Source organism: Homo sapiens, chromosome 5, assembly GCF_000001405.40.
Source record: "Homo sapiens chromosome 5, GRCh38.p14 Primary Assembly".
Taxonomy (NCBI): Eukaryota; Metazoa; Chordata; class Mammalia; order Primates; family Hominidae; genus Homo; species Homo sapiens.
In genome coordinates, this window is record NC_000005.10 from 149220329 (window position 1) to 149233332 (window position 13004).

General features: G+C 42.7%; 1 protein-coding gene across 14 annotated transcripts in view; it reads left to right on the plus strand.

Annotated features, from left to right (window-relative positions):
- Positions 1 to 13004, plus strand: part of ABLIM3 (actin binding LIM protein family member 3) — a 119050-nt gene that overhangs the window by 78836 nt on the left and 27210 nt on the right. For all 14 annotated transcript variants that reach the window (NM_014945.5, NM_001301018.3, NM_001345858.2 and 11 more), the window contains 2 exons: positions 10321 to 10379; positions 12901 to 12972. In NM_014945.5, the coding sequence (NP_055760.1) occupies positions 10321 to 10379; positions 12901 to 12972 (131 nt within the window). The remainder of the gene's footprint in view (positions 1 to 10320; positions 10380 to 12900; positions 12973 to 13004) is intronic.

The window sequence follows — 13004 nt, forward strand, 5'->3', positions numbered from 1 at the left end:
AGAATGCACCATTAAACCTACAGTGGAAATGCCTCCAAGGGTGGGAGATATTCTTAGTAATGAAGATGAGCCTGTCACCTTCTCATTAATTATCCCCATCCCTCTCCTGGCTCCTGGGAGAGTGGGAGTAATTGCAGGGCATTCAAGGACCTGCCTGAAAGGATGCTAAGTGATCCTGGAATGAGGGGGACCAGGCCAAGCAGTGCTAGAGTCACGCTCACTTGGGCTGTGAGTGTCTTGTGGGGGTTCTGCTACCACTGAGATCTGGGCCTTGGACACCCTCACCAAGTGGGGACACCAGGATTCAATATGATATCCCCCAGAATTGGCAAGAAAACCCTGCTCCTGGGTAGCTCAGGAGTGTAAAGAAGTGGCTGAGAGCCAGGACTCCCGGGTTCAAGCGTCAGCAATTCCACTAATAGGCTGTGACCTTGAGAAGTGGCTTCCTTCTCTGGATCTCTTGCTTCACCTGTAAAATGAGGATAACATCATCGTCTTTCATTGATCCACTCAAACTGGGGGCCACGCTATGTGCCAGGCTCTCTGCTACATGTTGGGCATTCAGAGATGAGTGAGGCAAGCATGCTTGCTGTCCTGGTGGAGTTCACTCTCTGGAAAGAGAAACCAACAGTGCCAAATAGAAGTGTAAACATTCAATGACAAGCTGTGACAAGTGCTGCACAGAGAAAGTTTTGAACAATGGGCATGTGTTATAAAGCCCCTGCTCTAGTCTGGGAAGCCAGGGAAGGTGCCCCTAAAAAGGGATATTTCAAGCCAAGACCTTGAAAATGAGTAGGAGGTGGGAGGCTGAAAAGGGCAGGAAGATTGAGGAGGCAGTGAGAACAGTGAGTGCAAAGGCCCTCCCTGGGTGGGTGGAAGCAGAACGAGGTGGAGAAACTGAGGCAGGCCCACTTACCTGGCACACAGAGAGCAACCATATGCCACAAGGTCCTCATGAACATTAGAGGAGAGAGTGAATGTGAAGGCACTGGGGACTCCATAAAGCAACTTATATAAGAGAGAGAGAGTGTTGGGATGCCTGCAAAGCTTACAAACCCAGCCTTGTCAGTTCTGGAGCTGGACACAGCATGGTACTGGCAAATGGTCCTTGGGAGATTCTTTGGGTGAGTTTGTTTGTGTTTTAATTGCTATGTGATGGCTTTCTGATGGGCTCTAATTGGGAGAAGTCTGACGTCTGTCTGGAGGAGAACTTCTGGGGCCCCAGGAGACAAGAGCAAGTTTTATTTGTTTTAAGTTCTGTTGTGTATTCAATCTTTTAACTGTGTTTGTAAAGATGCCAAATATCTAATCTGTTTGTTATCCAAACCCTTCATTTGGGCTTCACCAGGAAATTAGGTCACTCATTTTGTGCAGCAAAATAATGGCCAAAATGCTGCAGGTTCAGGGCAAAACTTATACTGAAATCCCAAAGGTTGCAGTTACTAGATCAGTGAGAGTTTTTTTAAAATCCCAAATGTGGTTCATGAGACAAATTTTGCTCTTGTTCTAAATGTGCCTGTACCCAGGAAAAGGGAGAAAATAGACTCTTCTTCTACCCTTCTGTCTACACCAAATACCCTCCTGTTCTAAGACCTGAGACAATAACCCTGGAATTACGTAAGTTCAGCTGCACATTTTAAAACAATTCGCTGTTATCATTTGTATATTTAACTAAAACCCACAAGGCAGGAAATCATTTATAAAATACTGGACAAACCTCACTCTGCTAAAGAAAAGTATTATAACAAATTATAGGTCTCACCAATAATAATGATAATAATAAAAATATTAATAATAATAAAATGCCATCATTTTATTATTATTATTAATAATATAATTATTATTTGTTGGTATACTTTGAGCATTTACTATGTGCCAAGTACTGTACTAAGAGTTTGAAACACAGTATCCCATTTTATCCTCACGACAACCCTGTCAGCTAAAAACTATTAATGTCCTCATTTTAGAGGATGAGAATGAAAGTTTCAAGAGCATACGCCACTTAGCCAAAGTGGGCCTGTCTTGCTAGGGTTCTTGGAGGCAATTTTCTTACATCTATATTACCAGAATTCTTAAACTGGTTCATGGTCAGCCTTTTGAACTCTATGAGTCTTCTGAAATTGCTTGCTAAATTTTGCATGCTAGGTGTGTTTCTTTAGGCAGAGGGTCCATAGCTTTCATCAGATTTTCAGAGGTGTCCATGGGCCAAAATAAAGTGAAGAGACTTGGTTCTGTGTTAACACAAATCCGAAACGGAGTCTCAAAAGCTTGTTTTGATAATTACACCAAACCCCAAACCCTTCTCTTGTGTAACTGAATCTATTTCAGATTACTTTTTTTTTTTTTTTTTTTTTTTTAGCTCAGAGGATACAAGGTCCTGGTTTCAGGAGCTGTGTATTTCTGGCATGGCTGGGTTGTAACTCAGAAAAGGTGCACTAAGCTGAGAGATGTTCAAGTGAGGGCCTCCCATTGTTATGGGTTGTGGAACGCCAGCCCTCAGTCATCATCTACGCATTTCATGAAACCACCCTCTAAAAGGCACTACTGTAGTATTGGTTGCTATAATTTCGTAGTTTAGCATTATTACTTTAAATTGGATCTCTCTACTGACAGCTTAGGTTGTAGGAGTTATGCTTAAAAACTTTAAATCTTATGTTTCCCCAATCCTACTACCTAATTTTAGATTTTTCAGACATATTCTGTTACTGTACTAAATTGATACTTCCTGAAGTCTGACTCTACTAAGCATATTTCATTTTAAATAGAGTATATTTTAATTTTTGGCGAGCTGCCATTTTTTTTTTTATTTAGATTTTAAGGGTTACCAAGCATCTTGAATCATATAGAAAGTATTACAGTGTAGTAGCTTAAGGTTTGTATTTCTAAAGTTTGTTTCCAGCTTCTCCTCTCAGGTCACCACAGACTCATGCCGATGTGGCCATTTTCTCGCCTGTCACATGTCACATCGACTTCAGCAGTCAATTTGTCCATGTTGGTCAGAATTAGGTCTAGAGTAGCAATTTCCCGGCTTACTTCCTCTATTTTCTGAGAAACAAAATTGCCTGCTGGGCAAGTCAAGAACTTGTCAGATATTCAGGTTTTAGCTCGATGAGACATTTTATTAGTCTAGACATTTTAGGTGACAGAAACCTAACTCAAGCTATGTTAGGCAAAAGAAGATTGATCAGCTCACAGAACTAAGAAGCGTCTAGGAGCAGCACAGCTGGGTCGAGGGGCCCGTGAGCACCATCAGGTGGTTCTTCTCCCTGTTTCTTTTTGTGTTTGGCCCCATGCTCTCCTGCCCAGACTGGCTGTCTCCATGCAGTAGGACAGAGGGCCTGGCCAGCCCCCTGCCACCATCAGTACAGAGAGGCAGCATGTCCCGCTAAGCTCAGCAGAGAAGTTCCAGAGAGTCTGAGGACCTGTTGCCCACACTCAGGCCAGGGTGGGGAGACAGAGACGGACAAGCAGGTTAGACATCCAAGCTCCCTAACCCCCAACTTCCCATCTGTAAAGAGGGATGAGGCTAGGCTCCATCTCACAAGGCTGTTGTGAAGATTAAATGAACTAATGAATGCATGGTAAAGACTCAGCACAGGGACTAGCATTGCTGGTTCTGCCAGTCTGAGCTCATGATAATCAGCCAGTTATATAGAAATGGCCATTCCCATGTTGCAATGCAGTAGTAAGTGCTTGCTGTTGTCAATATTATCAGCATTTTTAAGAATACTTAGCATAAGGTGCAGCATATATACTCAATAAATGGCAGTTATTATTTTTTATATTTAAGCACTATTGTTATAAAGTGTGTGACACAAGGCCTGGTATCGACACTCTATAAATATTAGTTATAATAGTAACAATAGGAATAATAAGAATACTTAGGGCCTGGCACATACTAAGCACTCAATATACTTTAATTACTGTCCCAACTGTTATTATCAGCACCTATTATTTCTCGTGAATTACAAGGCACCTCAGAATTGCCATTTTCCCCTTCTCATCCTGCCCGATATCCTCCATGGTAACCAGCCTCATGGTAACTAAACACTTTTCTCCCTCCAACCTCTTTATTAAGCTTCAGGCCCACTTCATCATGTCAGCTCCAGGCAAGTAGGTCTTTCCCACTTCTCCCGAGGTGCCCTTGTCCCTGGGCACAAGCCCAACCTCCCAGGAGGGTGCGCTGGCAACCAAGCCAGGCTTCTGTTCAGTGACTCCACCTGCATAGCCAGCCTGCCATGTGCTGCAGCCCCCTCGCTCACCCAGGCCCCAGCTCCCTGCTCCCCTCAAGTCTCCCTTTTACTGCTCTCCCCTTACCCAAACTAGATCCTGGCACACAGATTATTTTTGTAGGTGGAGGAGAGGAGACAATAAGAACAACAATACCCAACACTTATATAGTCCCTGACATAGGCGGACACCGTTCTAAGTGCTGGGCATGGATTAACTCATTAATCCTCAAACCAAACCTATGAGGCAGATACTGTTGTCATCCCTGTTTTATAAATAGGGAAACCAAGGCACAGAGAGGCAACTGACTTGCTCTAGACAATGCAGCTAGTAAATGATGTAGCCAGGATTGGAACCCCTTAAGAATATTACATGAAATGATGCACAGAGTGCCTGATACCAGTAAAGATTTACTAACACCCAAGATTATAATGATCACACTGTTGTTATTACAGGGCAGATTCAACAGCAGTGTTCACTCCTCTCTCTGGCCGAGTTTGGCACTTTCAGTAGCAAAGGAGGAACAGAGTGCCTTGGTCTACAGAAGCAATTCACCTGCTGGGAGGAGAGGAGTGGGAAATTTTTTATGTTAATGTAAAATTCTCATAACACAAAATTAACCATTTTAAAGCGCACAATTCGGTAGCTTTTAGTGCATTCACAATGTTGTACAACCCCCACCTCTATCTAGTTCCAAATCATTTTCATCACTTCAAAAGGAAACCTCATACATGCCATTAAGCAGTCATTTCCCATTCCTCTGTCCCCGAACCCCTGGCAGTCACCAATCTGTTTTCTGTCTCTATGGATTTGCCAATTTTGTATAGCTCTTACAGATGGAACCATACAATATATGTTCTTTTGTGACTGGCTTCTCACCCTGAGAATAATGCTTTCTAGGTTCATCCGTATAATAGCAGGTATCAGCAGGTCATTCCTTTTATGGCTGAACAATATTCCATTTTTGGATCTACCACATTTTTTATGTGGATGAAGATTTTTTAAAAAAATTTTTATTTCCATAGGTAATTGGGGAACAGGATGGTGTTTGGAAGTTCTTCAGTGACGTTTTGTGAGATTTTAGTGCACCCATCACCTGAGTGGTATACAATGCACCCAATTTGTAGTCTTTTATCCCCTACCCCTTTCCCAGCCTTTCCCCCTGAGCCCCAAAAGTCCATTGTGTCATTCTTATGCTTTTGCATCCTCATAGCTTAGCTCTCACTTATGAATGAGAACATACAATGTTTGGTTTTCCATTCCCGAGTTACTTTACTTAGAATAATGGCCTCCAATTTCATCTGGGTTGCTGCAAATGCCATTATTTTGTTTCCTTTATGGCTGAGTAGTATTCCATCATATATACATATATATATATATATGTATGTATGTATATAATATGTGTGTGTGTGTGTGTGTGTGTGTATATATATATATATATATATATATATATATATATATATATATATCACAGTTTCTTTATCTACTCATTGATTGATGGGCATTTGGGTTGGTTTATGTGCATGGAGATTTTAAAGGAGCAGTTCCAAGGTTCCTCCCAGTCTATTGCCACAAAGATAGTGCTGCTGTCATAAAGGCAGAGGTCTGAGAAACCTCATCCTGCTATGGTGAAAAAAAAATCCAGAGGCCAGGCGCAGTGGCTCACACCTGTAATCCCAGCAGTTTGAAGACTGAGGAGGGTGGATCATGAGGTCAGGATATCGAGACCATCCTGGCTAACATGGTGAAACCCCGTATCTACTAAAAATACAAAAAATTAGCCGAGTGTGGTGGCATGCACCTGTAGTCCCAGCTACTCGGGAGGCTGAGGCAGGAGAATCGCTTGAACCTGGGGGCAGAGGTTGCAGTGAGCCTAGATCACACCACTCCCCTCCAGCCTGGTGATAAAGCGAGACTCCGTCTCAAAACAAAAAAAGAAATCCAGAGAGGAAACCTGCCGTAAGAGAATGCCCTAGCTAGGGTCAAGGCCAAAAACTCCAATGCCCACGTCAAGGAGTGGGAAGGGCTGGGAGTCAGAAAGTAGGGAGGGTCACTGGTGACCTGCAGTATCTAAAAACCTTCAGACTCAGAACTGTTTAAAATCATGCTTACTAAACAGAACCGTCCAATGGACCACTTTCAATCACTGTACTTGTAACCTCTAGAATGCCAACATTCTAGAAGACTATGATACCAACTCCAGCTTTGGCATTAAAAAACAAAAAGCATTGGCCGGGCATGGTGGCTCATCCCTGTAATCCCAGCACTTTGGGAGGCCGAGGCGGGCAGATCACCTGAGGTTGGGAGTTTGAGACCAGCCTGGCCAACACAGAGAAACCCCATCTCTACTAAAAATACAAAATTAGCCGGGTGTTGTAGTGCATGTCTGTAATCCCAGCTACTCAGGAGGCTGAGGCAGGAGAATCACTTGAACCCAGGAGGCAGAGGTTGCAATGAGCCAAGATCGTGCCATTGCACTCCAGCCTGGGCAATAAGAGCGAAACTCCATCTCAAAAAAAAAAAAAAAAAAAAAAGCCTTGGCAAATTTAACATCAGGGTGTAGCAGAGAGGTGGGTGGCTTCCCCAACATTAAATCAGCCCCAAATGTTACAGGTGTGGAGTGTGCTATAACCAATCAGAGAGATAAGACTGACTGCTGACTCTGCTAACGATTAAAAATGGCCTTAATACCTGGCTGACAGATAGTTTTGGAGATTAACATCTCTATCTCTGAGTCAGCTGATACAGAAATAGCTAATCCTTCACTTCCATAACCTTCATAGTAGGTTTTAACTGCAGAGCCTGGAATTGTGGGTGACAATCTCAGAGGACAGGAGGAAGTGACTCATGGAACCAGGAGTTGAACAAGCAGAAAATGTTGTACTCTTACAAAAAGCTAGAGCTCTGCCTTATAAAATTGGTTTCTTTATCACATAACATTCCAAGAAAATAAATTTAGAGTGTTATCTGGTATTTAGCCCTGTGGTTCTCAAATTATGAGTCATAAAATCACCTGGGGAGCTTGTTAAATCACAGATTCCCAGGTCCCACCTCCAGGGAGTTGGCGTCAGTGGCTTCTGCAGGGGGGCCCAGGAATCTGAATTTTACCAGACTGCAAGACAGGTGATCCACAGGTCACAGTTTGACACACCCCAATATAGTGAATATGTTTGTAGACTCAGTCTGGAGTTGTGGCTGTCTAATCAGAGTCTAGATTGTACTACTTGTCCAAATCTCTGGGCCCAAGTTAGAGAAGCCAACTGCCTAAGATAGAATGCCATGTTTCTTTTGTTTATTTATTCACTCAATGAGTATTTATTGAGAATCTGCAGTTCCTGCAGATATATCTGTAGGTATAACAGACATGAATCCTCTCCTCATAGAATTTACATTCTTATCAGGATAAATGGGTGGGGCAAATAATTATCTTCTCGGTACAGTAAAACCTGTTAAGATGGAAACAGAATCTCTAAGGATTTGGGGGCTGGTAAACATCCCTTAGTGTAAGTACTGTGTGCTGAGTCTCCTTCCTAATATCACTGCTGAGCATTTATATACCCAATGTGTACTTAAACACTTTTAGGGACAAGGGCTTACTGTCAGTTGAATAAGGCCATTCAGTTCTTAGGTGTTAAATGTTCCTTGCCTGAACCTTCTGCCCTTAGTCCTAGTTCTACAAAACAAATGAATGCCTCTTCCTACAGAGAGTCATTAAAATCTGTAAAATCAGCTTTCACCATTCTGTTAAGTCTCTTCTTCAGGGTAAAGACCCAGCCTTAGAATTGCATTTGAGTCCCCTTCCTAGGATAGTCACCATCCTCTCATGGGTGCATTATACCTAGTATCTTTTTGAAAAAAAATACAAAGGTAGGGTCCAATGAGTCATTCACATGCATTTCTTTGTTAAACACACATGGGCCAGGCACTGTTTTTGGCTCTGGGGATAAAGTCCACTGAAGAGAATAACCATCTTCTTCACCATGATGTTATCCTTCTGTTAATGTCACATTGTTGAGCTATTGGCCTAGGGAATAAGCTCAGAAGACCGTTATTTCACAGGGATCTTCATGAACAAATCATCTTTTCTTGCATTCTTTATGTAAGTTTATTGCTAGCTACCAACTAACTTTTTTTAGCCTCTTTTATTTACAGATATACTACCAACTCCTAAATTCTGATTTTTTTCATTTCTAATTATATTTTTTTTCTTGTTTGATCCTCCTCTCCTTGTTTCTTATGTAAATATGCTTTCCGGTATGCAGAGTGCTGAAGTTAATGGCCATTTTTGGCTCAGTTTTATTTCAGAGTGAAATGCCAATGTTATGGGGTTAGAAAGCAAAAGAGACCCTCTAGTCTGACCCCCTCGCTTGACACATTATTTCCTTGTATGAGGACTTCTGCCCTCTTGATCTTTCCTATGTCTCTTTAACTTAAGTTCATGACCTCCTCAGACCTCTGTGTCCATCTCATCCATTTCCTACAGTGACCTGTAACATGTGTTTCCTGCCACAGCCACAGTCATAAACAATTCCTGATAGATTCGGAAGCAACTCAGAGAGGAACCGGAAACGCTCTCTCTAATAACTCCCTAAAGTAAGAATCCCAACACACAGCTTGGTAGTGGACACACCCTGTGATTGCTGGATCAAGCCACAGACTCAGAGTCCCTCTACTGGGCTCTGAGAACCATTGCATTTTACTTTAGAAAGAATTAAACCCAGTTGAATAATAAGGAATACCCAAGTATGTCGGCAGACAAAAATCAAAGATTCTTGTTCCACAAAAGACAAAACTGCCCGTAAAATTAGAAACTTGGAGATGAAAATAATCTTCAAGGCCACCCAAATCCCACCTTATTGTTCTTCAGATGAGGAAACTGGGACCCAGAGAGAGGATGTGTTAGGGGCTGAGCAGAGACAAAAAACACAGGCCTCCTCACTTCAGGCCTCTCTTCTCTTTTTCACTCCGATTTATTGACCTTTCACCACCATCTCATCCCTTAGCTAGTATTCCGGTCCTGGGGGTTCCAGGCAACAAAGCATAATATAAAGTATATCCTAGAGACAAAGTCAGACAAACAAATGCCATCTGGATGCTCAGGAATCCAGCCATTGCTGGCTTCTTTCCTTTTAGGGCTGGTTACAAGGGGAATGGCTCCAGAGGGATAATATGTTCCTATTTTTCCTTCTAATCCAGGACACCTGTCCCTTCTTTGGGGAATGTGTCATATTTGGGGCTGCTTCTCAACATGTGAGCAGCCACCTGTTGCTCATGCCTTTCCAAATTGGCCTTTCGGGTTTGGGGCTGGCCAACTGGACCCCCACCCACAATAAAATGTGGGCGTTAGCAGTATACTAAATTTGAAGAGTCTGGAGTCTCTGAGGAATTAGCAGGTCAAGGCAATGCTCTCAAGCGGAATATACACCATGACACCTCCTCCCCCTTAAATGTGATAGCTCTGGTAGACAGTCATAAGTCTTTAAGAGAAAAGAAAGCTGGAGTTCACCATGCTCTGTCACTCTTTTTTATCCACACTGTCATTTATTCATTCAACAAATATTTATTGACCACCTGCTATGTGTCACTGACTGCCAATCATGCACTCACCTCTTCACCCCACAAACATGTACGGATCTCTTCTAAGAGCAAAGTCCCGTGCTGGGGACTGTGGGAGATGTAGCAATGAATAAAGCTCAGCTCCCGCCCAGAAGAAGCTCTTGATTTAGTGGGAAATGAAAAATCCATAAGCTACTGTGCCTTAAGGCTGTATGTGTGGAAAGAGACACAAAGAACTATGGATCACAAAGGACAGAGAAGTCACCCCCAACTGGCAGGTAAGAAAGTTTGCAAGAGGATGTCATGTGAGCCCTAGACCTTTAGGAACAGGTAGGATTTGGACACACAGAAAAAGGATGTGAGCGGTCGCATAGGTCTGAGAGGTGCCAGGAGGGAGCTGGGAAAGCCAAGAGGGCCCTTCTGGCAGATGTGTAAGGGACATACGCTGACCACGGAGTGAATCAAGGTGGGACATGGGGAGAGTGCTGGAGGGTTTGAAAGGTCTGAGTCTTCGTTATTTTCATGACCCCTTAGGTTCCGAGGTTTGGCACCCCATCTGCAAACAGGCAGCCCGGGCAGAGAAGAAGTTAAAGGTAAGCAAGCTAGTAGATTCCAGACCAGCACTCCTGCTTTGCTACTTTCTGCCACAGGCTAAGGGAGCTGTGCTTTGGGACAGGGTCAGCATTCCTTAGTGTGCACACTCCCAAATGTGTGCCTATGTCCTTGGATTTTCCTAACGGTAACACCTGCCCCATGGGGTTTTTGAGGGGGTTAAGACATCGGATATGAAAGCACTCTGAAAACTGTAAAGCACTGTATTCATGAGAGTTTTGTGTTTCTGGGGTGAGGCTGTAACTCTACCATTGCTGACCAAGATGGCAGCCTCGCTGAGAAGCTCTCGCCATGGTTTTTCCCAGCCTAAGGTCACTCGTTAATAATAATAGTTAATAATGTCACAGTAATTGACAGTTTACAAAGCATCTTCACAGGCACTGTCTGATTTTACTCCTTTAACCCTGTGAGGCAGATGGGCAAGAAATTCTATCTTTGCCTTGCCTGTGAGAAAACCAGTTCTAAAGAGGTGATGATGTGCCTGCAGTAACAAAGCACAGCCGACATCCCCAGGTACGCGCTGGGCCAGCTGAGGTCCTGTGTCCCTCTGAATTACTGTGTTCTGACAAATGTCAGGAAGGCTTGTGAATCTGGGTTCCTGATACTGCAGAGAGGGATTGAGCCTCCCAGGCTGCAGGAAGGATCCGGCTTCTGGGTCTTTGATGATGTAGAGGAGACACCTGGGGTGTGTGTTGGGGGATGGGGAATGGGGCCTTTACATCCTGGCCCCCGGATATCAAGTTGACCCCTTGGGACTCTATTGTGTTACCTGCTAGAGTCTATCCAACTAGAAAAGCAAGTGCACAATTTCTGACCAGCTAGTTAAACATGTCTTCCTTGCTATCTCATCCACTTAATGAAAGTTTTCTGAAAGAGCCAGTTTATTGATGCATAATTATGTTTTAAGCCCTGAATTTCTTTCCCTGTTTCTTGCAAGACCCTCTCCCATTTAAGGTATAAGACCTAATTGTCCCTTTCTTCATTTTCCTCCCCTTTGGTGGCATTTCCCAAACTTCAGTCATCGTCTACAACCCTGATGCCTGTTGCCATATCTGTGCACCACCTGTTTCATTATATGCTTAATCTTTTTCTTTACATCAAGTCACTACTTTTTATTAACTAACCTTATTTTAAAATAAAACTTTATATTGCCACGTGAAAACCAGTAATACTTGCTATAAATAGAAGGTAATCATAAAATAAATTCAATGATAATGAAATAATTCTTAAGAATAAATGTTTAAAATCCTAGCTAGACAATGTTGTCTGCACTCTCTTTGTTTAAAAAGGGAAATTGGGCTGGGAGTGGTGGCTCAAGTCTGTAATCCCAACACTTTGGGAGGCCAAGGCGGGTGAATCACTTGAGGTCAGTAGTTCGAGACCAGGCTGGCCAACATGGCGAAACCCCAATTCTACTAAAAATACAAAAATTAGCTGGATGTGGTGGCACGTGCCTGTAATCCCAGCTACTTGGGAGGCTGAAGCAGGAGAATCACTTGAAAATGAGAGGCAGAGGTTGCAGTGAGTCAAAATTGTGCCTCTGTACTCCAGCCTGGATGACAGAGCGAGACTCTGTCTCAAAAATAAAATAAAATAGGAAATTGACAATTGTTGAGAGAGTTGTTGAAAAGAATTAGCACCAAACTGAGACGGCCTCCTTGATCTATCAAGGGGATTGAAACGTTAGATTTTACTCTCTAACTCTATGATTCAGTATTATCAAATGTTCCACCTTCATCTTCCCAGAACCACCGCTAGTTCACAGTCCACAATTTAGGAAACTTTATAGCCCCACTTAGAATGCTTTAAATTGTAGGATGAGAAAACTGGGAGAGAATCAAGTGATCCTGAAGCTCAGCCTCTTCATTTCACAGATCAAGAATCCAAGATGCCTAAGACCACATACTTCACCTGTGGGTCCTTGATTCCTAATCCCTTTACATCAGGCAGGCACCCTCTTATGCATTAAGACTGGCATCATGCTGCTCTGCTAAGGAAGCTATTAATCCATCATTGCCATTGTTCAGAGACAGTTTTTTTTTTAAGTTTATCACTTAAGTTGATGTCAATTTGCAATTAATACACTGTAAAGAATCAGCATATTGTGCAATTACGTGAAATTTAACCCACTTTTACATTTTGAATAAACAAACTCCCAAGGAATGAATGCTAACCAATTTTATTTTTTAAAAGAAATACATTATTGACTGGGATAACTCAAAATGAAAAGTTTTATGAGTAATTTCCTATTTAGACTGCTAGCTGCAAATACGTAGAAAATAAATCCATATTCCACCCCTAACAGCCTGAAGTCCTTGCATTTTTGGTCGCATTCATACTCAGACCTTGACTTGAAAGACAGAGAATAAAAAGGAAGTACAGAAGTAGCCAGAGAGTACTTTAATGGTATTGCTAATGTTGCATTCTTAACCCCCTGTCTCACCCTCCCCACCAAGCTCAGGTTGCAGCTTCTCACCTTTTCTGTCTTCATCTCTCTCACAGCATAGACGGACATCTGAAACCTCCATCTCACCCCCTGGATCCAGCATTGGGTCACCCAACCGAGTCATCTGCGTATGTATCACTTTTCTACCACCAAAGGGCCT